General features: G+C 43.2%; 1 protein-coding gene and 1 pseudogene across 17 annotated transcripts in view, besides 5 other annotated features; one reads left to right on the top strand and one right to left on the bottom strand.

Annotated features, from left to right (window-relative positions):
• The window catches only part of ZNF43 (zinc finger protein 43), a 47120-nt gene that overhangs the window by 3173 nt on the left and 16231 nt on the right, over positions 1–27716 (top strand). For 4 of the 17 annotated variants that reach the window (XM_017027211.3, XM_017027209.3, XM_017027213.3 and 1 more), the window contains exons 3-4: positions 3387–3501; positions 5567–11039. The exons of 3 other annotated variants lie outside the window; for them this stretch is intronic. Coding sequence is in view for 1 of the 14 variants with exons in the window: in NM_003423.4 (NP_003414.2) it covers positions 12855–12857 (3 nt within the window). In the remaining 13 variants the exon portion in view is untranslated. Of the gene's footprint in view, positions 1–3386; positions 3502–5566; positions 11040–12710; positions 12858–27716 lie in introns of those variants that run through there. 10 more of the 17 variants (NM_001256649.2, NM_001256648.2, XM_017027208.3 and 7 more) reach the window with 5 other exon arrangements.
• Positions 11674–12646: an enhancer, noted in NCBI's record as "NANOG-H3K27ac-H3K4me1 hESC enhancer chr19:22019049-22020021 (GRCh37/hg19 assembly coordinates)". NCBI's record gives its function as "activates a minimal SCP1, AML or CMV promoter by ChIP-STARR-seq in naive and primed H9 embryonic stem cells {active_cell/tissue: H9 hESC(naive and primed)}" and the evidence as "EXISTENCE:reporter gene assay evidence [ECO:0000049][PMID:30033119]".
• Positions 12647–13620: an enhancer, noted in NCBI's record as "NANOG-H3K27ac-H3K4me1 hESC enhancer chr19:22018075-22019048 (GRCh37/hg19 assembly coordinates)". NCBI's record gives its function as "activates a minimal SCP1, AML or CMV promoter by ChIP-STARR-seq in primed H9 embryonic stem cells {active_cell/tissue: H9 hESC(primed)}" and the evidence as "EXISTENCE:reporter gene assay evidence [ECO:0000049][PMID:30033119]".
• Positions 12758–12917: an enhancer, noted in NCBI's record as "active region_14390". NCBI's record gives its function as "activates an Ori minimal core promoter by ATAC-STARR-seq in GM12878 lymphoblastoid cells {active_cell/tissue: GM12878}" and the evidence as "EXISTENCE:reporter gene assay evidence [ECO:0000049][PMID:35858748]".
• Positions 12938–12987: an enhancer, noted in NCBI's record as "active region_14389". NCBI's record gives its function as "activates an Ori minimal core promoter by ATAC-STARR-seq in GM12878 lymphoblastoid cells {active_cell/tissue: GM12878}" and the evidence as "EXISTENCE:reporter gene assay evidence [ECO:0000049][PMID:35858748]".
• Positions 13028–13117: an enhancer, noted in NCBI's record as "active region_14388". NCBI's record gives its function as "activates an Ori minimal core promoter by ATAC-STARR-seq in GM12878 lymphoblastoid cells {active_cell/tissue: GM12878}" and the evidence as "EXISTENCE:reporter gene assay evidence [ECO:0000049][PMID:35858748]".
• Positions 21614–22131, bottom strand: BNIP3P27 (BCL2 interacting protein 3 pseudogene 27; annotated as a pseudogene).

Here is a 27716-nt window from a genome sequence, read left to right as displayed (position 1 = left end):
GTTGACTCATACCTGGGCTGAGGGCCAGAGCGAACACAGCTCACAAGAGAGATGGAGGCTCTTATGCACAGGTTCAATTCATTGGTGAAATTGTCACTAGCGTACTTAGACCCAACATAGAGAATGTGGTGACTCTCATACCTAGAACTGGGACCTGTACGGGATTAATTGATCACTGGACCTTTCTGCAGGTGTGGTTGTGACATTGGCCAGCACCTGAGTGATTTCAGTTTCCTGTCTGGTCCCAGCCCAAAGGTAAAATTGTAACATATCACTGGTCCCAGCACCTAGGTGATATGACTCTCCTCTTTTTATGGGACCTCACAAATTTTGGGTATTGTAAAATAGTACTGAATCCTGCACCCATGTTATGTGACTCTCTCACCTGTGCCCTACATGTTGTGCCATATTATGGCACAATATGTCACATTAGAAATTGTCACATATGGCCGGGCATGGTGGCTCATGCCTGTAATCCCAGCACTCTGGGAGGCTGAGATGAGTGGATCAGTTAAGGTCAGGAGTTCAAGACCAGCCTGGCCAACATGGTGAAACCCCATCTCTACTAAAACAATACAAAAATTAGCCACGTGTGGTGGCGCATGCCTGTAATCCCAGCTACTTGGGAGGCTGAGGCAAGAGAATCACTTGAATCTGGGAGGCAGTGGTTGCAGTGAGCCGACATGACACCACTGCACTCCAGCCTGGGCAACAGAGCAAGACTCTGTCTCAAAAAACAACAACAACAACAACAACAAATTGTTACATATAAGGCCGGGCACAGTGGCCTCACGCCTGTAATGCCATCAGTTTGGAAGGCTGAGGCGGGTGCATCACCTGAGGTCAGGAGTTCAAGACCAGTCTGATCAATATGGTGAAACGTCTCTACTAAAAATACAAAAATTAGCCGGGCATGGTGGTGTGTGCCTGTAGTCCCAGTGACTTGGGAGGCTGAGACAGGAGAATTGCGGGACATGGAGGTTGCAGAGCCAAGATGCGCCACTACACTCCAGCCTGGGTGACAGAGCGAGACTCTGTCTCAAAAAATAAAAATAAAAAAGAAATTGTTACATATTGTTGGGTCCAATACCCAGGGGATGTAACACCTTTTCTCTGGACCCTGCCTACATGGAGCTTTGTGATGTAACTCAATGATGCCCGTCACCATGGTGATGTTACTTTCTTTTTTTTTTTCGGAGACGGAGTCTCACTCTGTTGCACAGGCTGGAGTGCAATGTTGTGATCTTGGCTTACTGCAACCTCCGCCTCCCAGGTTCAAGTGATTCTTCTGCGTTGGCCTCCTGAGTAGCTGGGACTACAGGCATGTGCCACCACACCCAGCTAATTTTTGTATTTTTAGTAGAGATGGGGTTTCAGCATGTTGGCCAGGCTGGTCTCGAACTCCTGGCCTCAAGTGATCCACCCTCCTCAGCCTCCCAAAGTATTGGGATTATAGGTGTGAGCCACCGCGCCTGACCAGTAATGTTACTTTCTTCTCCTGCCTGGTCTCTGCTCACAGAGACCTAACATCAAGGTGATGTGACTCTTATTTTTCTTAGGCCCTTCATATTTGTGTATCGTGACATAATGCTCAGCTGAACACCTAAAGGTCGGAAGTCTCCTACCTGGGCCCTTCCCACAGGGAGCATTGTGACATGTCCCTGCATTCATCAACTAGGAGATGTGACTCTCCTCTTCTGCCTGCACCCTGCCTACAGGGAAAATTGAGGCACATTGCTGTGGCCAGCAACCAGATGCTGTGTTTTTTCTGCATGGGTCTTTATTACAGAAATGATGGTTGACATATCTCTGGGCCCAGCATCCAGGTGATGTGACAGTCTTCTTCTGTCTGGTCCCTGCTTACAGGAACATTGTAGCATATTGCTACGCCCAGCACCTACCTGATGGGATTTTTCCCTGGTTTTAGGTTTTGCCTGCAGCAGACATTATGAAATATTGCTAGGCCCTGCACTGACATGTGAGTCTTCTGCCTACGATTTGGCCACTTGGGCCATTGTGACATATTGCTGGGTCCAACAGCCAGGTGATATAACTTTTATGCCTGGACCCTGCCTAGGGGTGGCATTTTGAAATGTCTTTGCACCAGTCACACAGGTGATTTGACTCTCTTGTCTTACCTGGTTTCTGCTTACAGGAAGTTCTGTGACATTTTGCAGCACATAGCTGATTTGATTTTTTTTTCTTAGTTTTTCCTCCAGGGAAGATTGTGAAATATTGGTGAACCCAGCATCAAAGTGATGTTACTCTATTTTTTTCTTGGCCCTGCTCACATAAGACATTGTGACATGTTGCTGGGTTTTACACCCAAGTGATGTGAGTTTCCTGCCTGGACCATGCTTACAGAAAACATTTTAACACATATCTAAGCTCATCAACTATTTTATTTGACTCTCCTCTTTTATCTGGGCTTTGTCCATAGGTCAGATTGTAATATATCTTTGAGCCTGGGTTGTGCTAACAGAAAAGAGAGTGACTTATTGTTTGGCCCAGCACACAGGTGATGTGATTCTTATGCTTGGTCCCTGTTCAGGTGGTCATTGTGACATAACTCTGGGCCAATCACCTAAATAATAGGTCTCCTTTTTATTTCTGAATCTGTCCACAGTAAGAAATGTGAGATATCGCTTGGCCCAGCACCCATGCGATGTGACTCTCCTCTCATAGCTAGACCCTGCCCACTGTAGTGATTGTGCTACCAGCTCCTACGTTATCTGACTCTTGTCTTCTTCCTGAGCTCTGCAAACAAGTAGCACTAGGAAATACCCCTGGGCCTTTCACCTAGGTGATGTGACTTTTCTGCCTGGGCTCTCCTTATCCGGGTATTGTGACATGTTGCTGGATGCAGCATTTAGGTAATGTGACTTCTTCTCTACTGCTTGGACTCTGAACAAAAAAAGATTTAGATGTATCACTGGGCCCAGCACCTACATGATGGGACTCTTCTCTTGTCTGGGCCCTGCATCCTTTTTTTTTTTTTTGAGACAGAGTTTCGCTCTTGTTGCCCAGGCTGGAGTGCAATGGCATAATCTCGGCTCATGACAACCTCTGCCTCCTGGGTTCAAGCGACTCTCCTGCCTCAGCCTCCTAAGTAGCTGGGATCACAGGCATGCACCACCACACCTGGCTAATTTTGTATTTTTAGTAGAGACAGGGTTTCTCCATGTTGGGCAGGCTGGTCACAAACTCCCGACCTTAGGTGATCTGCCCGCCTCGGCCTCCCAAAGTGCTAAGATTACAGGCGTGAGCCACTGCGCCTGGCCCCTGCATACATATTGTGACATGTACCTGGGTCTATCACCAAGGAGTCTCCTACATAAGCCCTGGTCACGAGAGTATTATGACATATCTTTTCATTCATCACCTAGGTGATGTGACTCTTCTTCAGCCTGCACCCTGCCAAAAGAGGATTGTGATGTATCACTGGACCCAGCACCTAGATGACGTAACTCTCATCTTTTGCCTGGACCTTGCATATTTTGGGTATTGTTACATATTACTGAGTCTGACATTAGGGGATGGGAGGTCCCTGCCTGGGCCTGCCCACAGGGGGCCTTGTGACATATTTTGACATCCATCAATTATAATATGTGACTTTTCTCACCTACATGCACCATGCCCCCCAAAAACATTGTAACATACCACTGGGATCAGCAACCAGATAATGTGTCTCACCTCTCAGGGTATTGCTCATAGAGAGCACTGTAACATATTGTTGGGCCCTGCACCCAGGTGGTGTAACTTGCTGCCCGTGCCCATCTTACAAGAAGAGATGTTAAGGCATCCCTGCCCAAGCACCTAGGTGATGTGACTCTCCTGTCTCGTCCTTGCACTCAAAAAAGATTGTGACATATCTCTAGACCAGCCCCAGGTGATGTGACTCTCCTGCTCACTCTTTACCCATAGGTGTAATTGTAACATTGTAACATATATATATATATATATATATATATTTTTTTTTTTTTTTTTTTTTTTTTTGAGACGGAATCTTGCTCTGTCGCCCAGGCTGGAGTGCAGTGGAGCAATCTCGGCTCACTGCAAGCTCCACCTGCTGGGTTCATGCCATTCTCCTGCCTCAGCCTCCCAAGTAGCTGGGACTACAGGTGTCTGCCACCATGCCTGGCTAGTTTTTTGTATTTTTAGTAGAGACGGGGTTTCACCGTGTTAGCCAGGATGGTCTCGATCTCCTGACCTCATGGTCCGCCTGCCTCGGTCTCCCAAAGTGCTGGGATTACAGGTGTAAGCCACCTTCCCGGCCCTTGTCACATATATTTTGCCTGAGCTTACAAATTACTATGATGATTCTCATACCTTGAACCAGGCAATAAAAGAGATACACCTTGCCTAGCTAGGCTTGAGAAAACAAACATGATTCTAAGTTTCCTTTTTTTTTGCAAAGGTCATGGAGAATTACCACTCTCTCAGATATTATAAAAAGCTCTCAGGTGGCACAGAGTGTCATCACAAGCCAAAAACACAGATGAAATTGTGTTTTGTGTATCTTTTTTTTTTTTTTTTTTTTTTTTTGAGACAGAGTCTCCCTTATCACTCAGGCTGGAGTACAGTGGCACGAGCTCACCTTACTGCAACCTCCACCTCCCAGGTTCAAGTGATTCTCCTGCCTCAGCCTTCTGAGCAGCTGGGATATGCCCGGCTTTTTTGTATTTTTAGTAGAGATAAGGTTTTACCATGTTGGTCAGGCTGGTCTTGAACTACTGACCTCATGATCCACCTGCCCCAGTCTGGGCCTAGGGCCGCAGGTACGATCATGGTTTTATACAATCACAAAGATCTCAGAGTGGATTTGACTCTCCTGTATATTGTATAAAGCCCTCGGGTAATACACTGAGTGCCCTTACATGGCCCAGCACACAGGTGACATTGTTATACTCATATGCGCAACCAGCCAACAGTAAATATTGTCATCCCTTAACATAAACATAACCTACTTCTGAAGCTCTGAATGTCACACCTGGAGGCAGTGGAAAATTGCAAAATTGACTCTTATAGGTGAATCTGGTCCACAGATGGATTGGTGACTCTCAGGTCAAGATTCAGCACACCTGTGAGGCTGTTTTATTTTTTTATTTTTAAGACCGAGTTTCGCTCTTGTTGCCCAGGCCGGAGTGCAATGGCATGATCTTGGCTCACTCCACCTCCCATGTTCAAGTGATTCTCCTGCCTCAGCCTCCCTAGTAGCTGGGATTACAGGCGCCCGCCACCATATCCAGCTAATTTTTGTATTTTGAGTAGAGATGAGATTTTGCCATGTTGGCCAGGCTGGTCTCTACTCCTGACCTCAGGTGATCCACCTGCCTTGGCCTCCCAAAGTGCTGGGGTTACAGGTGTGAGGCACCACGCCTGGCCAAGGCTATGATTTTACTAAGAGACACAGTCCGCAGAAGAGATTGAGGTTGTTATGCATGGATTCATCTACATTGAGATGGTGACTTGTGTACTTAGACCCAATATCCAAATGGTATTGACTCATACCTAGAATGAAGACACGTGAAGAACTGTTTTATCTGATTTCTGGGTCTTTCTGCAGGTGTGATTGTGACACATACCTCTGCTCAGAATGTGAGCGATTTGACTCTCCTGCCTGGGCCCAGTACACAGATGGGATTGTGACATATCGCTGGACCCAGCATGTAGATCATGTGACCCTATACTCTTGCCTTGGTGCTGTCGCAGAGGGCATTGTGACATATCACTGGTCCCTGCACCCAGGTAATGTGTTTCTCCTTTCTGTGCCCTGCCCAAATGGGCTATTGTAACATATTACTGGATCTAACACCCAGATGATATGAATCTCCTACCTAGACCCTGGCTTCAGGGGACATTTTGCCATATTTCTGGACCCATCTATTTAATGTTACTCTTCACCTTTACATGGGCTTTTCCCTAGGAGACGTTGTAACATATCTGTGCCAAGCACCTACATGATCTCACTCTTCTCTCCTGCCTGGGCCCTGACCACAGAAGAGGGGGTGACGTATCACTAGGCCCTGACCACAGGTTATGTGATTTTTCTGCCTGGTCCCTGTCCAGAGAGGACATTATGACATTTGCCTGGGCCCATAAACTAGATTATATGACTCTCCTTTTGTCTCTGAAACTTGTCCACAGTGGAGATTTTGACATACCACTTTTCTCAGGATCTACATAATCTGAATTTTGTTCCATGCCTCAGTCTTGCCCACTGGGGTGATTGTGCCATATAACTAGTCTCAATTCCTAGGTTATGTGACTCTTCTTTATGAGCCTTACCCACATAGGGCATTTTGACATATCTCTGGAGCCCTCTCTTAGATGAGGTGACTGTGCTGCACGGTCCCCTTTTTTTCAGAAAATATTGTGCCATATTTTTTGACCTAGTAACAAGGTGATGTGACCCTCGTCTACTGCTTGGTTTCTGCCCAAGGCGGGATTGTGATTTTTTTATTTTATTGTTTTTTTTTTTTTTTGAGATGGAGTCTCACTTTGTTGCCAGGCTGGAGTGCAGTGGCACGATCTCAGCTCACTGCAACCTCTGCCTCCCGGGTTCAAGCTATTCTTCTGCCTCAGCCTCCCAAGTAGCTGGGGCTACAGGCATGCACCACCATACCTAGCTAATTTTTGTATTTTTATTAGAGACAGGATTTCACCACGTTGTCCAGGATGCTCTCGTTCTCTTGACCTGGTGAACCACCAGCCTCTGCCTCCCAAAGTGCTGAGATTACAGGTGTGAGCCACCATGCCTGGCCAGGGATTGTGATTTTTCACTGGGCCTAGCACCTTGGTGATGTGACTCTCCTCTCCTACTACAGGTTTCAGTTAGAAAAGGAGAGTCACGTCACTTAGGTGATAAACAGAAAGATAATGTCATAATTCTCCTATTAGCAGGGCCCATGCAGGAGAGTCACATCACCTAGTTGTTGGACCCTGCCATATTTCAATATACACAATTTGTTTCACCTAGGTATTGGTGAATTGTGTATTGTATATATTAAAATATGGCTAGTCCAACACCTAGGTGATGGGACTCTCTTCACCTGCTAATAGAGGAATTATGACATGTCATTTGTTTATCACCTAAGTGATGTAACTTCTACCTGAACCCTGTAAAAGGGGAGGATTGTGACATATCACTGGACTCTGTATCTAGGTGATATCACTCTCTTTAACCTGGGCCCCTTGTATTGTGGGTATTATGACACATCAGTGGCTCAAACCAAATGGGTAAAGAGCTCTTGCCTGGGCCCTGTCTGTGGGAAGCACCTTGTGACATATCTGTGCATCCATTACTTTGGAGGTGTGACTCTCCTCTTCCATCTGCACCATGCCCAGAGAAAGATTGTGTTGCATCTCTGGGTTCAGCAACCAGGTGCTGTGTTTCTTGTGCCCAGGCCTTGCCTGCAGAGAGAATTGTGACATAGCTGGGTCCAGTACCAAGTAACGTGACTTTGTTGTCTGTGCCTTGCTTTCGAGAAGGAATTGTAACATAACCCTGGACAGGCAACCAGGTAATATGACTCTCCTGCCTGGTCCTTGTCCTGAAAAATTGTGACATATTTCCGACTCAGCATGCAGGTGATGTTACTCTCCCATTTACTTTCTACTCACAGGTTAGATTGTGACATACACTTTAGCCCAGTTCACAGTTGCGATGATGATACTCATACCACAAACCAGTCCATAGCAGAGATACTGGTGCTGGTAGCTAGACTTAGAGAAACAGGTAAAGTCCTGGATTACCATTCTTTCACATTTTGTATAAAGTCTTTGGACGGTACAGAGAGTGTTATCATAGGGCCAAGCACACAGGTGAGACTGTTTCTCAAATGCACAACCTACCAAATGTTAGCATTGTCACCCTCACACGAATTTCACACGTGAATGGAGTCCACAGTAAAAATTGTGACTGTCATATGTAATCATGTGACAACAGTTAAGATGGTGACTCATTTCTAAACCTAGCTCATAGGCAGGTGAGAACTCTTTTCTCTAGACCCAGCCAATTGGAGAGATGTTGACTCTAATGCATGAGCCTAGGTCCACAGGTATGATTATGAGTTTGTATTAGAAAAAAAAGTCTCAGAGCAAATTGTGACCATCATGGATATTGTATAAAGCCCTCAGGTAGTATAGAGAGTTCTATAACAGGGCCTAGCACCCAGGTGACATTGTGACACTCGTATGCAAACCCAGCCAACAGTGAAAATTGACAACTTTCCACATGAACACAGCTCACTGTTGAAGTTCTGAATCTCACACCTGGAGGTGGTTGGAAAATTGACTCTCAAACGTGGATTCGGTTCACACGTGGGCTGGTGACTCTCAAACCAAGATTCAGCATACCTGTGAGGCTGTGACTCCACTAAGGGGACACAGTCCACGGCAAAGATTGAGGCTCTCATGGATGTATCCAGTCCACCGTTGAGATTGTGACTTGTGTACTTGGACTCAACATACAACATGTGTTGACTCTAATACTAAGAAATGGGATGTGTGGGATTGTTCATTCCTACATTTTTTTGTGACTGTGATTGTAACATACACCTTTGCCCAGCACCTGAGTGATTTGACTCTCCTGCCTGGTGCCTAGTGCACAGATCGGATTGTGACACATTGCTGAATCCAACATCTAGGTGGTGTGACTCTGTACTTTTGCCTCAGCACTGCCCACAGGGGGGCATTGTGACATATCACTGGACCCCACACCCTGGTTATGTGACTCTTCTGCCTGTGCCCTATCTTCATGGGCCATTGTGACATTGCTATGTGCAACATCCAGGTGATGTAACTTTCCTTGCTGGATCCTGCTTGCAGGAAGCATTATAATCTATCTGCATCCATCACCCAAGTAATGTGACTCTCTTTCTACCAGGTTGCTGCTTACAGAAAGAATTGTTACCTATCACTGGGCCAGCACCTAGCTGTTGTGATGCTTCTTTTTCTACCTACATTCAGCTCACAATGTAGATTTTGACATACTGCTGGGCTAAACACCAAAAATGAAGTTACGTTTTTCCTCAGCACTTTCCTCATCAGGCATTGTGACATATTGTTTGGCCCAGAACTAAGGTAATGTGAGCCTCCTGCCTGAACCCTGCCCATAGTGGGCATAGTGACATATTTGTGAACCCATCATCCATATAATGTGACTTTCTTACTTGGCTTTTCCCTATAGGAGAGATTGTGACATATATTTGAGCCCAGAAACCAAATAATTTGACCCTTCTTTCCTGCTATGGCCATGCTCCCATAAAAGAGAGTGACTTATTGCTGCGATTAGCACACAGGCTATGTGATTCTTCTGCCTGGTTCCTCTCCACAGGAGTTACTTTGACATATCTCTGGGCCCATTACTTAGATGATGTGACTCCTCTTATTCCTGGGATGTGTTCACAGTTTGGACTGTAACATATCGCTTAGTCAAGCACTTATGTGATGTGACTCTTCTCTCATGTTTTGGCCTTGTCCACTGGGGTGCTTGTGATATGTAGCTGGGCCCAGCTCTTAGGTTATGTGATCTCTTTTTTTTTTTTTTTTTTTTTTTTTGCCTGATCTCTGCATACATTTTGTATTGTGATATATATGGCTGGGTCCAACACCTAGGTATTATGAGTCTCCTGAATGGGCTCTGTTCAGAAAGGTATTATGACATATTCTTTTTTCTTCATCACTTAAATGTTGTGACTCTCCTTTTTTGACTAGAACCTGCTACAAAGGATAATTGTGAAATATCACTGGACCCAGCACCTAGGTGATGTGACTCTCCTTTTTGCCTGGGTCTCACATAATTTGGGTATTGTGATATATTGCTGAGACCAACATCTAGGGGGTGGGAAGCTCCTTTCTTGACCCTAACCACAGGAGCTTTGTGACATATCTCTGCATCCATGATCTAAATATGTGATTCTGTGTTTCTGCCTGCACCCTGCTAACAGAGAAGATTACGACAAATTTCTAAGTGCAGTGTATCTTGTTTATCTTGTGCTGACCTCCTATCTCATCCTGTGACTAAGAATGCCTAACCTGGGGAGGCAGCCAAGTAGGTTTCAGCATATTTCACACAGCTGCTATTCAAGATTGAGTTGCTCTGGTTTGAATGCCTCCAACATTAAGATCCACTATAAAATTATGAAAAAAGTCTAGAGTAAATGAGAATTAAATTAGGATGGGCTATTCTACCCTGGGTGCGGTGGCTTACTCCTGTAATCCCAGCACGTTGGGAGGCCAAGGCGGGCGAATCACCTGAGGTCAGGAGTTTGAGACCAGCCTGGCCAACATGGGGAAACCCCGTCTCTACTAAAAATACAAAAATTAGCCAGGTGTGGTAGCGCACATCTGTAATCCCAGCTACTCGGGAGGCTGAGGCAGGGGAATTGCTTGAACCCAGGAGGCGGAGGTTGCAGTGAGCTGAGATTGCACCACTGCACTCCAGCCTGGGTAATAGAGCGAGACTGTATCTCCAAAAAAAAAAAAAAAAATTTAGAATGGGCTATTCTGAAAGATGTAGCAATAATTATATTTGTGTTTATGAGTTTTTTTTATTAACCTCTACACTTGATAATGAAAGAGGTTTCCACTGCTAAAGGAAAATAAATCTCTTGATGCCAAAATTACTAAGCCACTAGAAAAGTCAAGTTGAGAACTATGTCAGGCAAATCTGCCTCCCATTTTATTTCTAAATAAGATAGCTACAAAGATAAAAAAGCTACATACTTTCTTTACAATTAGCCAACAAGGAAATTCCTTGAGAACCAAAGACAGACAGAACTCAGAGTCATTTCTCTGAGCCTCGCCTGAGACAAATGCACATCTGATTGCTTCCTCTGCACTGCTGTTAATTTAGATATGCAGGTTCACTGAGCCAGACTAAATTGTATTCAGTTGAATGCTTATCAAGGACTCAAGAATCCAGACTTTTATCTCTTATTTACTTATGACCTGGAAGCCCTCACCTCAAGTTGTCCTGCATTACTGGATCAAACCAAGAAAGAGAGAGAGGAAGGAGGAGGTGGAGAAGGAAAAAGGTAGGGAAGGAAGATCTTATACATATTGATTGATGTCTCATGCTTTCCTAAAATGTTTAAAAGCTGCTGGGCATGGTGGCTCACACCTGTAATCCCAGCACTTTGGGAGGCTAAGGCGAGCAGTTCACCAGGTCAGGAGACATCCTGGCTAACAGGGTGAAACCCTGTCTCTACTAAAAATACAAAAAATTAGCTGGTATTCATAGAAAATATAATTTTTAATTATCGAGTAATCTGAATAAATGAATATATCATAAAAAAATTAGCTGGGCATGGGGTCATGCACCTGTATCCCCAGCTACTTGGTAGGCTGAGTCAGGAGAATCGCTTGAACCTGGGAGGCGGAGGTTGCAGTGAGCCGAGATTGTGCCACTGCACTCCAGCCTGGTCGACAGAGCAAGACTCCGTCTCAAAAAAAAAAAAAAAAAAAAAAAAAAAGTAAGTGTAGGCAAATGTAGATGCAAATACACATCTGTTTACACAAATTCCTACTTTCAAAATCACAGAGAATGGTCACTTTTTAGCCTTTTTATGAATAAAATCCTGGATTCCATTTATTATTCCATTAGAACTTCTGTACCTATTTTGAAATTTGAGATTAAATTGTCTTTTGCTGAGTTTGCCCAGTTTATATTTCAAGTAATACTATATCATGGGAACACATTAGAGATTTTCTATATTTTTATGTTTTACATCAGTTTCTAAAACCTGGAAATTATCTTGTTTTGAATTTCTTATGAAAATGGAATACTATCCACTAAGAATATTCCATTAGCATACTGCAACTTAAAGTCAGGAGATCTAAACTTTTTCTGGTAACATTACCTATATTTAGTTTTTTAAAAAATGTTCTCTTTTTGTATATGCTTTTTAATTTGCTTTTAAAACATGTGCATAACATTTCCTTGAATTCTATTAATGGACCTCAATGCTTTAAAAAAATTTTTTGATAAAATAATTCAGTCTGAATGTGATGGTTCATGCCTATAATCCCAGTACTTTGGGAGGCTGACTTTGTAGGATTCATTGAGCCCAAGAGTTTGAGACCATTCTGGGCTATCTAGTGAGGCTTCATCTCTACAAATAAAAATATGATAACAAATTAGCTGAGCATGGGGCCACATGCCAGTGGTCCCAGCTACTCAGAAGGCTGAGACAGGTAAATTGCTCAAGCCTAGATTGCTGAGGCTGCAGTGAGCTGCAGTCATGACCCTGCACTCCAGCCTGGGTAACAGAGACTCCCTCTCAAGAATAAGAAAAACCCCACAGAGGATAAATAATAAAATATTCAATGTTTGTAATACTTCCTACTCAAAGGGCCAGAAGCCAGGAAGGTCATAAAAGCTGAAATTCAAAAACAATTGTTTTCATTTTTTAGTATCCATATAGTATATTACTTATAAGTGAAGATGACCTTATACACAAGGTTAAAGGCAAATACCCTCTGGGTTGGGCCTGCTCTGCTCAGGGAGGAAGCCCTGCCTGAAAAGGCGGCAGCCTAGGCTGTCATTCTTTCTTCTTTCAGCCCAGCGTCTGATCACATCTTTCATTCAGGGTTTGCGGGGGCAGGACCTTAGAAGTTATCCAATCAGGGACGCTGGGCTGGAAACCGTCCAATCAGGCACGGGGCAGGAGAGGACAGGGCGGCTTCCGGGATGTGGCGGGGCCTTTGTCTCTGGCTGCAGTTGGAGCTCTGCGTCTCGTCTTCGTTCTTCTGTGTCCTCTGCTGCTAGAGGTCCAGCCTCTGTGGCTCTGTGACCTGCGGGTATTGGGGGATCCACAGCTAAGACGCCAGGACCCCCCGGAAGCCTAGAAATGGTGAGAGTGCCGGTCCGACATCCCGAGAGGGGGAAGGGGCTGTGGCGTGACTCAGGCCTTCCCGCAGTCAGCTCCACAATCTGCGCGTGCCGGAGTTCTTGCCCAGCTCGGCCTCAATCCCCTTCAGCCATAAGATGGCGGCTGCTCTGGGAGGCAGCCCCGGGCGTCCTGTCTCTTCTCTGCGCAGTGACTGTGTCCCGGCCTGCAGCCCTCTGTGGGCAGCTCTGCAGCCGCAACGCGGCGTCTCTCCCAAATTGTGCAGGGGCCACAGGAGGGTCGTCAGGAGAGAATCCTGACTCGTGATGCAGTTTCATGAATAGGAAGAGCTTTGGTCCGTGGCATTTCTAGTCCCTCTTTTGGTCTATTAGAAACAGGAGAGTCGGCCGGGCGCGGTGGGTCACGCCTTTAATCCCAGCACTTTGGGAGGTCGAGGTGGGTGGATGACGAGGTGAGGAGTTCGAGAGCAGCCTGGCTAATATGGTGAACCCCGTCTATACTAAAAATACAAAAATTAGCTGGGCGTGGTGGCGCGCGCCTGTAATCGCAGCTACTAGGGAGGCTGAGACAGGAAAATCGCTTGAACCCAGGAGGCGGAGGATGCAGTGAGCCGAGATCGCGCCATTGCACTCCAGCCTGGGCCACAGAGTGAAACTCCCTCTGGAAAAAAAAAAAAAAAAAAACTAAACTAGATTTTCCTTTATTTCTGACATTCCCAAATGCCACCTTCTTCTCCGCAATTCACGTTATCAACTATTTTTTCTTTTTTTTCTTTTTTTTTTTTTTTTTGAGATGGACTTTCGCTTTTGCTGCCCAGGCTGGAGTGCAATGGTGCTATCTCGGCTCCCTGCAACCTCCGTCTCCCGGATTCAAGCGATTTTCTTGCCTCAGCCTCCTTAGTAGCTGGGATTACAGGTGCCTGCCACCACACCCAGCTAATTTTTTTTGTATTTTTAGTAAAGACGGGATTTCACTATATTGGCCAGGTGGTCTCGAACTCCTGAGCTCAGATGATCCACCCGCCTCAGCCTCCCAAAGTGCTAGGATTACAGCACTTAAAAATAGCCACCGAGCCGGGCTATTTTTTTTTTTTTTTTAGTGTACATTTTAGATACAGAGATACGTTTTAGATAAAGATATTTTAGATATCTGTATATTTTTGATACAGATATTTTAATTATTTTTTGAAAAATCATTGGATGGACTTAAATAAATTTTCCTTTCTTCTTTCCTTCTTCTTTCTTTCCTTCCTTCCTTCCTTCCTTCCATCTTTCCATCCTTGCTTCCATCCTTCCTCTCGCTTTGTTTCCCAGGCTGGAGTGCAATGGTGCAATCTCAGCTCATTGCAACCTCCCGGGTTCAACCGATTCTCCTGCCTCAGCCTCCCGAGTAGCTGGAATTACAGGCACCTGCCACCGTGCCTGGTTAATTTTTTTGTATTTTTAGTTGAGACAGGGTTTCACCTTGTTGGCCAAGCTGGTTTCGAACTCCTGACCTTGTGATCCACCCGCCTTGGCCTCCCAAAGTGCAAGGATTACAGGCGTGAGCCACCGAGTCCGGCCTAAATTTTGTTTTCTATTTGAAAATATTTTCCATATTGAAAAGAAAGCAAAAAATAATCCCCTTACACTGTTTGTAAAAAATAAAAATCTCTGTGCCTCTTTTCCTTTTCTTTTTTTCTTTACTTTTTTTTTTTTTTTTTTGAGACAGTGTTGCTTTGCTGCCCAGTCTGGAGTGCAGTGATGTGATCTCTGCTCACTGCAACCTCTGCCTCCCTGATTCAAGTGATTCTTTTGCTTCAGCCACTCCAGTAGCTGGAACTACCGGCACCTACCACCATTCCCAGCTAATTTTTGTATTTTTGTTAGAGACAAGGTTTTTCCATGTTGACCAGGCTGGTCTCGAACTCCTAACCTCAGATGATCCACCCGCCTCCGCCACCATGCCTGGCCTCTTTTTTCTTTTTGTTTTCCCTAGGCACAGGACTCTTTTTTTTCCCCCGCCCCGCCTTAAGATGGAGTTTAGCTCTTGTTGCCTAGGCTTGACTGCAGTGGAGCCATCTCAGCTCACTGCAACCTCTGCCTCCTGGGTTCAAGCGATTCTGCTGACTCAGCCTCCCGAGTAGCTAGGACTACAGGGATGCACTACCACGCCTGGCTAATTTTGCATTTTTAGTAGAGACAGGGTTTCCCCATGTTGGTCACGCTGTTCTCAAACTGCCGACCTCAGGAGATCCACCTGCCTCGGCCTCCCAAAGTGCTGAGATTATAGGCATGAGCCACCACACCCAGCCAGAGACTTTTTCAGAATGTTTTTAGGTCAAGTTTTTCCTTTCGAAAAATGTGGGTGATTTTTCCTCAGCCACACTTCATTTTGTTGTTTTTGTTTTTTTTTTCTGATCCTGGGTTTCAGTACTGTCTAGGGATAAACCAAGATAACCACCATGGCTATGTGTGCTACAGTGTCACAGCCTGGGTGTAGTGGCTCATGCCTATAATCCCAACACTTTGGGAGGCCGAGGTGGGTGAATCACCTGAGGTCAGGAGTTCAAGACCAGCCTGGCCAACATGGTGAAATCCCGTCTCAACTAAAAATACAAAAAAATTAGCTGGGTGCAGGGGCAGGCGCCTGTAATCCCAGCTACTTCGGGAGGCAGAGGCAGGAGAATCGCTTGAACCTGGGAGGCCGAGGTTGCAGTGAGCTGAGGTCGCGCCATTGTACTCAGCCTGGGCGACAAGAGGGAAACTCTGTTTAAAAAATAAATAAATAAAATAAAATAAAAATTATCATTTACCTTTCTCTTTCCCAGAGTGAGTTTAGGAATCTTCTCAGGTGTCTTTTATTTTATGGCTGGGTGATTTTCAACAGAATTCCAAGGCTTAGCTTTTAGAATGCTACCAAGGAAAAGAATAGGGAAAATCTATTTTATTTGGCTGTACAAAATTAATACATTTTTATAAGAAAACGTGGTATATAAGTGGTGAGTTACACAGATTCATAAAAACATCAGTTACTCTCTTTGCAGGGTAAATTTGTAGAGGTGATTATCTGTATTCTATATCCTATCATCTTGATTTCTGAGTTTAATGCTAAATTTTATGAGATGAAACTTGGTACCTCCTAGAAGTGTTTTCATATGACTAATTGTTTACCACATAATTTTTTTTTTTCAATTGACATGGAGTCTCACTCTGTTGCCCCACTAGAGTGCAGTGGCACAATCTCGGCTCACTGCACCCTCCATCTCCCAGGTTGAAGCAATTCTTCTCCCTCAGCCTCCTGAGTAGCTGGGATTACAGGCGTGTGCCACCACGCCCAGCTAATTTTTGTATTTTTGGTAGAGATGGGGTTTCACCATATTGGCCCGGCTGGTCTCGAACTCCTGACCTTGTTATCTGCCTGCCTTGGCCTCCTAAAGTGAGCCACTGCGCCTGGCTGGTTGTCTTGTTTAGTTAGTCTGTTCATAGTTTTCTTTGCTGTGCAGAAGCTCTGTAGTTTAATTAGGTCCCATTTGTCAATTTTTCCTTTTGTTGCAATTGCTTTTGGTATCTCCATCATGAAATCTTCTGGTTCTTATGTCTAGAATGATTTCCTAGGTACCTTCCAAAGTTTTTTTAAAAATAATTTTACATTTTAAGTTTAAGACTTTAATTCACTTTGAGTTGATTTTTGTATATGGTGTAAGAAAAGCATCCAGTTTCAGTTTTCTACGTAGTATTAGCTAGTTATTTTAGCAAATTTATTAAATAGAAATTTTTTTTTACATTTCTCTTGTAAGCTTTGTTGAAGATCAGATGGTTGTAGGTGTGTGGCATTATTTCTGGGCTCTCTATTCTGTTGCATTTGTCTATGAGTTTGTTTCTATAACAGTACCATGCTGCTTTGGTTACTGTAGCCCTGTGGTATAGTTTGAAGTCAGGTAATGTACTGCTTCCAGTTTTGTTCTTTTTGTTTAGGAATGCCTTGGGTATTTAGGCTCTCTTTTAGTTCCACATTTATTTTAAAATAGTTATTTTTAGTCCCGTTAAGAATGTTTTTGGTAGTTTGGCAGAAACAGAATTAAGTCTGTACATTTCTTTGGGCAGTTTGGCCATTTTAATGATACCTTTTCTATTCATGAGCATAAACGGGTTTTCCATTTGTTTGTATCATCTCTTACTTTTTGAAGCAGTTTTAAAATTCTTGTCATAGAGATCTTTCACCTCCCTGGTTAGCTATATTTCTGGATATTTGATTCTTTTTGTGGCAAATAGGATTGTTTTTGATTTGGCTTTTGGCTTCAATATTGTTGATGTACAGAGATGTTACTGATTTTTGTGCATTTATTTTGTATTCTAAAACTTTGCTGAAGTTGTTTGTCAGTTTAAAAGCTTTTCTGGAGCCGGGCGTGGTGGTTCATGCCTGTAATCCCAGCAATTTTGGGAGGCCGAGGTGGGCGGATCACAAGGTCAGGAGTTCGAGGTCAGCCTGGCCAACATGATGAAACCCTGTCTCTACTAAAATTACAAAAATTAGCTAGGCGTTGTTGTGTGGCTTGTAATCCCAGCTACTCAGGAGGCTGAGGCTGGAGAATTGCTTGAAACCAGGAGGTGGAGGTTTCAGTGAGCTGAGATTGTGCCACTGCACTCCAGCTTGGGTGACAGAGCAAGACACCGTCTCAAAAAAATAAAATAAAAATTAAAAAAAAAAAATTTTCTGCTGAGGCTATAGGGTTTTCTAGGTGTAGAATCATGCTACCTGCAAACAAGAGTAGTCTGACTTTCTTTCTCTTTATCTTGCCTGATTGCTCTGTCCAGTATTTCCAATGCTATGTTGAATAGGAGTGATGAGAGAAGGCATCTTTGTCTTGTGCCAGTTTTCAAAGAGAAATGCTTCCAACTTCTGTGTGTCCATTCAGTGTATTGGCTTTGAGTTTGTGACAGATAACTCATTATTTTGAAGTATGTACCTTTAATGCCTAGTTCGTTGAGGGTTTTAACATGAAGAATGTTAAATTTTCTTGAAAGATTTTTCTGCATCTATTGAGATAATCTTGTGGTTTTGGTCTTTAGTTCTGTTTATGTGATTAATCACATTTATTGATTTGTGTATGTTGAAATAACCTTGCATCCCAGGGATATAGGCTACTTGATCATAGTAGATTAGCTTTTTGATGTGCTGCTGGATTCAGTTTGCCAGTATTTTGTTGAGAATTTTTCCATCATTTTTTATTAAGATCATTGGCATGAAGTTTTCTTTTTTTGTTTTATACCAGGTTTTGGTATCAGAATAATGCTATTATGTAATGAGTTGGGGAAGAGTTCCTTCTCAATTTTTTGGAATGGCTCTAGTAAGAATGGTATCAGCTTTTTTTTTTTTGTACATCTGGTAGAATTCTTTTGTGAATATGTCTGATTCTGGTTTTTTATTGGTTTCTAGGCTATTTATTATACTTCAATTTTGAATCTTGTTGGTCTCTTCAGGGATACTTTTTTTTTTTTTTTCAGTCTTTGGAGGATGTACGTGTCTAGGAATTGATCTATTCTAGATTTTCCGGTTTGTTTACATAGAGGTGTTCGTTACAGACTTGAATAATTATTTTGTTGTTGTTGGGTCAGTGTTAATGGCCATTTTGTCATTTCTAATCGTGTTTATTTGGATCTTCTCTTTCTTCATTAATCTCTCTAGAGTGCTATTTATCTTATTAATTCTTTCAAAGATTTTACTCCTGGATTTCTTTTTTTGTTTGTTTGTTTGTTTTTTGTTTTGTTTTTTTTTTTCATTTTGTTTTTGAAACAGAATCTCTCTCTATTGCCCAGGCTGGAGTGCAGTGGCACAACCTTGCCTCACTGCAACCTCCGCCTCACTGCAACCTCCGCCTCCCTGGTTCAAGCAATTCTCCTGCCTCAGCCTCCTGAGTAGCTGGGATTACAGGTGCCCACCAATACACATGGCCAATTTTTGTATTTTTAGTAGAGACCGGGTTTCACTATTTTGCCAGGCTGGTCTCGAACTCCAGACCTCAAGTGATCTGCCCACCTCGGCCTCCCAAAATGCTGCGATTACAGGGGTGAGCCACTGCACCCAGCCTTCTCCATATTTTTATCATTTTTTTGTCTAACTCTCCAGTTCAGATCTGATTTTCATTTCTTGTCCTCTGTTAGCTTAGAGGTCAGTTTGCTTTTTCTTCTCTTGTTCTTTTATGATGTCAGGTTTTGTGTTTTTTTGTTTTTTGAGACGGAGCTCAATGAATCCAATGTCTACTGAAATTCAGATGTTCAAGAGTTCAATATGTCCAGAGACCTGGCTGTTGTAAAAGAAAATATAAATCAGAGGCTTTATTATCCTACCTGAAAATAAGAGAGACTATCTTGTTCAACTCTTTTATCTTAAAGCATTTAGATTATATGGAGATATTTTTATTGCTTTTTTGAAATATATTTAAATCATATTAACAGCCAAATCTTTTGGCATTCTTTTGACTCAAGATTGTCTTTATTTAAGACCTCAGATTCATTGCTTATCCTTGATTTGGGAAAATTTAATTTTTTTTTTAGTCTTTTAAAGTAGACACAGATTTGTTTAGATTAAAGCTCATTTTAAGAGCACACAGAAGTTTAGTACGAAGAACGAATTAAATTTAGAAATACAGAATGGTAAAAACTAAAAAATACTGAATAAATTTCTTTGACAGAAAACTGATAATCCAAGGTAATCTAATATTTGCAGGCTGAAGTACTTACACTGCAAAAGCAAGAACAGTTCAGTGTGTAAACTCAACCTTGGAGTCTGTGTAGTTTTTTTTGTGTGTGGTGTTTTTTGTTTTTTTTTCCTTTGTGATGGAGTCTCACTCTGTCACCCAGGCTCGAGTGCAGTGGCACGATCTCGGTTCACTGTGACCTCTGCCTCATGGGTTCAAGCGATTCTCCTGCCTTAGCCTCCTGAGTAGCTGGAGTAGCTGGGACTACAGGCACGTGCCACCACGTCCGGCTAATTTTTTTTTTTTTTTTTTTTTTTTTTTTTTTTTGAGACAGAGTCTCTCTCTTTCGCCCAGGCTGGAGTGCAGTGGCGCCATTTTGGCTCACTGCGATCTCCGCCTCCCTGGTTCACGCCATTCTCCTGGCTCAGCCTCCCAAGTAGCTGGGAGTATAGGCGCCCGCCAGGGCACCCGGCTATTTTTTTGTATTTTTAGTAGAGACGGGGTTTCACCGTGTTAGCCAGGATGGTCTCGATCTCCTGACCTCGTGATCTGCTCGCTGCGGCCTCCCAAAGTGCTGGGATTACAGGCGTGAGCCACCGCGTCCGGCTGTATTTTTTTTTTTTCCTTAAATTTACTTTTTTTGAGACGGAGTTTCACTCCTGTTGCCCAGGCTGGAGTACAATGGCATGATCTCAGCTTACTGCAACCTCCGCCTACTGGGTTCAAGTGATTCTCCTGCCTCAGCCTCCTGAGTAGCTGGGGTTACAGGCATGTGCCACCATGCCTGGCTAAATTTTGTACTTTTAGAGTAGAGACAGGGTTTCTCCATGTTGGTCAGGCTGGTCTCGAACTCCTGACCTCAGGTGATCCACCCGCCTCAGCTTCCCAAAGTATTGGGATTACAGGCATGAGCCACCGCGCCTGGCCTAATTTTTTGTATTTTTATGAGAGATGGGGTTTCACCGTGTTAGCCAGGATGGTCTCAATCTCCTGACCTTGTGGTATGCCCGCCTTGGCCTCCCAAAGTGCTGGGATTACAGGCATGAATCACCATGCCTAGCCTAAATAGTTATTTTAATATTCTTACTCATACTTTGAAATATAAAGTAGTTTTAACTGAAATATGGTTACAAACAATTTTTTAGAATACTACATACATTATGACTAGTACATTAAAGTTGGTTATACTTAGATATTTATATCTAATATCCAAAGAAAAGTCACTACCAAATTGTTACAATAGATATTAGTCTGACATGCTTATTAATTTATCCAATATGGATAATTACAGGGAAGCTTAATTTTAGTGTCTTTCATTTAACTAAATTGGAATGCTGCTATTACAGGACAGATAAAAACAGGTCAGGTGGCCACTCAAAAAATATAGTAGCTCTTCAGAGGCTGGGTACGGTGCCTTACGCCTGTAATCCCAGCACTTTGGAAGGCTGAGGCGGGTGGATCACCTGAGGTTGGGATTTCAAGGCCAGTCTGACCAACATGGAGAAACTCCAACTTTACTAAAAATACAAAATTAGCCATACATTGTGGTGCATGCCTGTAATCCTAGCTACTTGGGAGGCTGAGACAGGAGAATTGCTTGAACCTGGGAGGCGGAGGTTGCAGTGAGCCGAGATTGTGCCATTGCACTCCAGCCTGGGAAACAAAAGCTCAACTCCATCTCAAAAAAAAAAAAAAAATGGCCAGGCGCAGTAGCTCACACCTGTAATCCCAGCACTTTGGGAGGCCAAGGTGGGTGGATCACTTGAGGTTGGGAATTCAAGACCTGCTTGACCAACATGGAGAAACCCTGTCTCTGCCAAAAATAGAAAAATTAGCCAGGTATGGTGGTGCATGCCTGTAATCCCAGCTACTTGGGAGGCTGAGGCAGGAGAATCACTTAAACCTGGGAGGCGGAGGTTGCAGTGAGCCAAGATCGCACCATTGAACTCCAGCCTGGGCAACAAGAGGGAAACTTCATTTCAAAAAAAAAAAAACCACATAGTAGCTCTTCAGTTAGCAGTGTTGCAAGCTTGAATATATTACACTATATGAATAAACTCAAGATTTCAATTCTTCATCAAAAGGTGCATGTGGAAATTGTGAGATGTATTCCAATATGGAACTCCCATCCAATGGCTAGGAGATGAGACAGCAGCAGACATGGAAGAGAAACCTTAGAAAATTCTGCTGAGAATATATATTTTTTTCATAATGCTCATGTTTCTTGTGCTGAGAGTAGCTGTGCACTTCGTTTAGAGAGAAATTTGTTTAAGGGGAGTATTTTTGGTTGACTTGATCAATCTTTCATCTAATCTAAGTTTTTTCTTAAGATGCTTTGAACTTCTTTTTTTTTTTCTCAATACAGTGTTACTCAAATGGAGAGCTGTTTTTCTTTCTAATGCTTTGGGTGTCTGTTTCAGAAGCTCTGTTAGTGTCCCATGGTGCCTGTGAATGCACGATGAAAACTCTCGGAGTTATCATCATCTGAACTCATGCTGAAAACCCAACAGTTTTTTTTTTTTGGAGACAAAGAGTCTCACTCTGTCGCCAGGCTGGAGTGCAGTGGCGCGATCTCGGCTCACTGCAACCTCCGCCTCCTGGTTTCAAGTGATTCCCCTGCCTCAGCCTCCTTAGTAGCTTGGAGTACAGGTATGCACCACCACACCCAGCTAATTTACCTATTTTTAGTATAGATGGGGTTTCACCATGTTGGCCAGGATGGTCTCGATCTCTTGACCTGGTGATCTGCCTGCCTCCTTCCCAAAGTGCTGGGATTACAGGTGTGAGCCACTGCACTCAGCCAAACCCAGCAGTATTTTTTCCATGTCACCATTGTAAGTAGAAACTGAGCCTGAATCACTGCTCAGGCTTAGTGAGCCTGCTGAACTCTCTTTCTGTCTTTGCAATCTCTTAAGCAGATTTACTGTCATGCTGCTCACATTCTGGTTTAATTGTGTAATAAACAATTTTATTTCTGTTCTATCATTTTGGAGTTTCTCTGGGGCTGCAGAAATTTTTTTTAAATTCCATTTCCAAACACTGTCTTGAATTACCAGACATAATATAAACACATAAGGTGCCAACTAACCTTTAATCTAGAGGAAACTTTTTCTTTCAGGCTTCCCATCTATTCACAATTGTGCTGCAAAGTGTATGATGTCCCCTAAATATGCAGGTGGAATTGTTTTTTTGCCTATTTGGTATATGTAATTAACTGTAGTCGCTTCTAGAAAGGATAGACAAAATTTCTACAAACTTCACAGAGAAGGAACCAACCATTTACCTCTTCATTTATTATTTTTTATTTTTTTGAGATGGAGTCTTGCTCTGTTGCCCAGGCTGGAGTGCAGTGGCACCATCTCGGCCTACTGCAACCTCTGCCTCTCGGGTTTAAGCGATTCTTCTGCCTCAGCCTCCCAAGTAGCTGGGACTACAGGTGAGTTCCACCATGCCCAGCTAATTTTTGTATTTTTAGTAGACGAAGTTTCACCATATTGGCTGGATTGGTCTTGATCTCTTGACCTCCTGATCCACCTGCCTTGGCCTCCCACAGTGCTGGGATTACAGGCGTGAGCCACTGACCCAGGCTATTTTACCTTTTTCAATGACTCTTGTATCCTCAGACCTGAAAGTGATTCACAGACCATGGGGCCCAGAAACCCGATCAAAGTAACGTGTGCATTGAGTAGACATGAGGACATGAGGATCTCCACTTTCTTCCTCTTGCTAAAAATGCCCTAAACTGTGTAGGTGAAACCTGCTGCCACACCACCAGATTTAGCTCCACTAAATCTGCAGCCCCAAATTCTGATTCTGGGTTTTGAGATTTGAGAAATAAAAAAAAACTTTAATCTGAGAAATGCAAGTCCTTTTTTCAAACTCAGAGACATTAAAATGAGAACACAATTATTTCTTTCTCCTCCCTTTGAACTATGTATTTATCTCTTGAAACTATTTGCTATTGCCACAAGTAGCTATAAACTAAACTAATAATGTCACACTGGACACTATAACCCATACCTTAAACCTTAACAATGTATATCCAATCAATAATCAGTGTTATTTCTGTAAATAAATAAGACTTCCTGACAACTTTTTTTTTTGGTTGGTTGGGTTGTTTGATTTTTGAGACAGTTTCACTCTTGTTGCCCAGGCTGGAGTACAATGGTGCAATCTAGGCTCACTGCAACCCCCACTTCCCAAGTTCAAGCAGTTCTCCTGCCTTAGCCTCCCGAGTAGCTGGGATTACAAGCATATGCCAACATGCCCGGCTAATTTTTTGTATTAGTAGAAACAGGGTTTTACTGTGTTGGCCAGGCTGGTCTCAAACTCCTGTCCTCAGGTGATCCAGCTGCCTTGGCCTCCCAGAGTTCTAGGATTACAGGCATGAGCCACCGTGCCCAGCCTAAGTGGCTGACAAACAACTTTGTACCAGTCCACTCTCTGCCCCTCTTTTTTGCCTTTACAAATCTACTTGTAACTGCTGCTAAAGTTTACATTCCAGACAACTTGAATCATTGCTCCCAGGTTATAATCCTCAAGCTTGGCCCAAATAAATGATTTACTTATATTCATGTTGCCTCAGATTTCTTTTTTCTTTCTTTTTTCTTTTTTTTTTTTTTTTTTTAGGTAAACATATTATTTTAAATGTGCTACAGCAGCCTCTATGAGGGGATCTCTTTTGATTGTACCCTGCTTGCTTTAACACCCAAGAATGCAGAGCCAGGTTGATCCAACATAGAATCTGTACATATAGTTTGGCCTCTGCCTGGGATTCACAAGACAGGGCCAGGTTTTGGATTGAGAATGTACAGAAAATTAGCAAGAGACATTTTCTGCATTGTGAGAAATCAACATAGACACCTTAAAGACCCCTTTGAGAGTGTGGCTTTTTGAACTTTTCAGATTTTGCTCAGTGACCTGCTAACACTTACGTGAGAGGCTCCAGGTGTAAATAGAATCTAATGGCAGAATCTGTAAGTGTAAACAAGCATCTTAGGAGTGAGAGATCAAGACCACAAAATGTCCAGAGCTATGACCACAGCTATACCTACCCATAAAATACGATACTGGAGTAGGGTATTTTTGTCTTTTTTTCTTACCTAAGAGCTAGCTAATCAGGACAGGTGATGCAGGTTCTGGAGCTCTACCAGGGCAGTTCTATTTTCTTTTTTTGAGACAGAGTCTCACTGTCGCCCTGGGCTGGAGCGCAGTGGCACGATCTTGGTGCACTGCAAGCTCCGCCTCCCGGGTTCATGTCATTCTCCCTCAGCCTCCAGAGTAGCTGGGACTACAGGCACCCATCACCACGCCCGGCTAATTTTTTTTTGTTTTGTGTTTTTAGTAGAGACAGGGTTTCACCGTGTTAGCCAGGATGGTCTTGATCTGACCTCGTGATCCACCCACCTCAGCCTCCCCAAATGCTGGGATTACATTCGTGAGCCACTGCGCCTGGCCAGGCAGTTCTATTTTCTATTTAGAATCAGCCTGAGGCTGGATGTGGTGGCTCACACCTGTAATCTCAGCACTTTGGGAGGCCGAGATGGATGGATCACCTGAGGTTAGAAGTTTGAGATCAGCCTGACCAACATGGTGTAACCCCATCTCTACTAAATACAAAAAAAATTAGCCAGGTGTGGTTGCACATGCCTGTAATCCCAGCTACTTGGGAGGCTGAGGCAGGAGAATCGCTTGGAGGTTGCAGTGAGCTGAGATTGTGCCATTGCACTCCAGCCTGGGCAACAAGAGCGAAACTCCATCTCACGAAAAAAAAAAAAAAAAAAAAAAAGGCCTGATTCTTTCTTGCCCGGCTTATCATTGGGCAGTCAGCTCTGGGTCACTGGAATCCTCTCACAATCAACTAGACATCTTTGCGACATTTGAAAATGTCCAGAACAGAATTGTGTCATGCTGACAAGAATGGTTAATTCTGCTCTGTCTCAGTCTAGGATAAATTAGTCATGCTGTTCTTGTTTCTCATCTTGTGTAAGATGGTACCCAGATGAGAGTTTTTGCAGTTTTCTTGTAGTTGGGTGAAAAACAGGAGATCTGGAGACTCAAACAGATAAACTAATTTCTACCATTTCTTATGGCCATTAAAAAAATAGATGAAGCAGTCATCCCTATCATCCAGGAATTTTTAGTCTAGGCTAGCAACTGGATACATGGTTGAATTTAGCATTATATTGTTGGTACAATGAGTAGATGTGTGCAAAAAAAACTTTGGCTTTATTTGTCCACTTTCTTTGTATTGTTCTGACTTCTGATATCATCACTTGAAGGAATGTTTATTGAAAAAATAGTACTGTTTCTATTCATCTTACCTTGCTAAGAATACATATTTATCTTACAATAATAAATTCTCCTAGAAAACCTTAAGGGATTTGTTTAAATTGCTTATTGGTATATGTTATGAAATTGACAGGGCAGCGGCTAAAAAAGATTAAAATTACACAAACTCTGGAATTTAATTTTGTCTTAGGTAAGCTTAGGAAAAACCGAACAGGAAATAACCCAGTGGCATAGGGAACACAATTCTTTATTTTTTTTTTTTCTGAGACGGAGTCTTGCTCTGTCACCCAGGCTGGAGTGCAGTGGCGCGATCTCGGCTCACTGTAAGCTCCGCCTCCTGGGTTCACGTCATTCTCCCCCCTCAGCCTCCCCAGTAGCTGGGACTACAGGTGCCCGCCACCGTGCCCGGCTAATTTTTTGTATTTTTAGTAGAGACAGGGTTTCACTGTGTTAGCCAGGATGGTCTCGATCTCCTGACCTTGTGATCCACCCGCCTCGGCCTCCCAAAGTGCTGGGATTACAGGCGTGAGCCACCGCGCCCGGCCACGGAACAGAATTCTACATAGGTTCATCTCTCTGCTTTTTTTCTGTTCAGATTCACCCCTTTTGGAGGCCTTATTTAGGTCAGGCCTGCTTATTGTTCTGTTTATAATTTGGTTCAGATTCTGCGTGGAAGCATCCATGTTGTTTTAATTAAGTGCCTCATGTGACTCCAAAATGAGGCTAGAATCAAGTATAAAAGGTTCAAGATACATACACAAGAGTTAAGTTTTACTTTGCACTAAAGGGTGGTTACAGGGCCTGTTCTGTTTGGGTTTGGTAGGGACAGGACAGTGTGGCCCATATTTCCATTACTGTAGCAAAAATTGCTGGTGTCCATGGCAGAGGAGGGCACCTGAGGATAGAAAAGGTGAAACTCATATTAGCATCTCCGTGGAGCAGTTCATTCTTGCTGAATCTCTTCGGTTATAAAGGACAAAAATAGGTGAACTTTTTCTGCAGGTCTTGGTCCTTCTGCCTGTGGGTGTGGTGGTAGTAGGCAAATAGGTGGTGCTGACAGCTTTAAAGGCATATTCTCAAGATGCAGGTGTAATTTGTCCAGAGAATCTCATCTGGAAAGGATTCCCAGAGACAGAGAAAAAAATGGCTTTTTTTCAGCTAAACATGTCTCAGATCAAGAGCTGTGTCCACTCTGCTTCCTGGAATGCCATGTGTTTAGTACTTGTAAACCTGTACTTTGCTACTTGTGTTTTTCCTCCCTAATGAGTTTGTTTTAACTGCTTTTTAAATTTTTATGATAGGCAAGGGTCTCTGCAAAATATTTCTTTTCTATATAACAGAGCCTTCTCTACATTCTCTACATCATGGCTTCTAATATGCCATGCAGAATTCTCACCATGACTTTATGAACTGCAATATTAAAAATGATCCTTTCATGGTTGTTGAACATGGGAAGGTGTGGATACTCAAGATTTCTATTGGGGAAAACTGGGGTCCTTACTAAAAATGGAGAACATGTAATGTTGAGTTTCAGTCTGTTTTTTATTAGCTCTATGCAGAATAGGATTCAGAAAATGCTTGTTTAAACAAGAAGACATTTATAAAGCAGAAAGTTCTGAAAAATACTATCAGGATATACTTGCTTTATGGGTGCTAAAGATAGACTACTAAAAATTACTATTAAAAATTACAGCCTGGTTGGCCAGGCGCGGTAACACGGTGAAACCCCGTCTCTACGAAAAAAAATACAAAAAAAATAGCAGGGCGTAGTGCTGGGCTCCTGTAGTCCCAGCTACTCTGGAGGCTGAGGCGGGAGAATGACATGAACCCAGGAGGAGGAGCTTGCAGTGAGCGGAGATTCGCGCCACCGCACTCTAGCCTGGGCGACTGAG

The sequence above is a fragment of the Homo sapiens genome, chromosome 19, assembly GCF_000001405.40.
Source record: "Homo sapiens chromosome 19, GRCh38.p14 Primary Assembly".
NCBI lineage: Eukaryota > Metazoa > Chordata > Mammalia > Primates > Hominidae > Homo > Homo sapiens.
The sequence above is the reverse complement of the archived record's forward strand: the minus strand, read 5'-3'. Positions and strand labels throughout refer to the sequence as shown.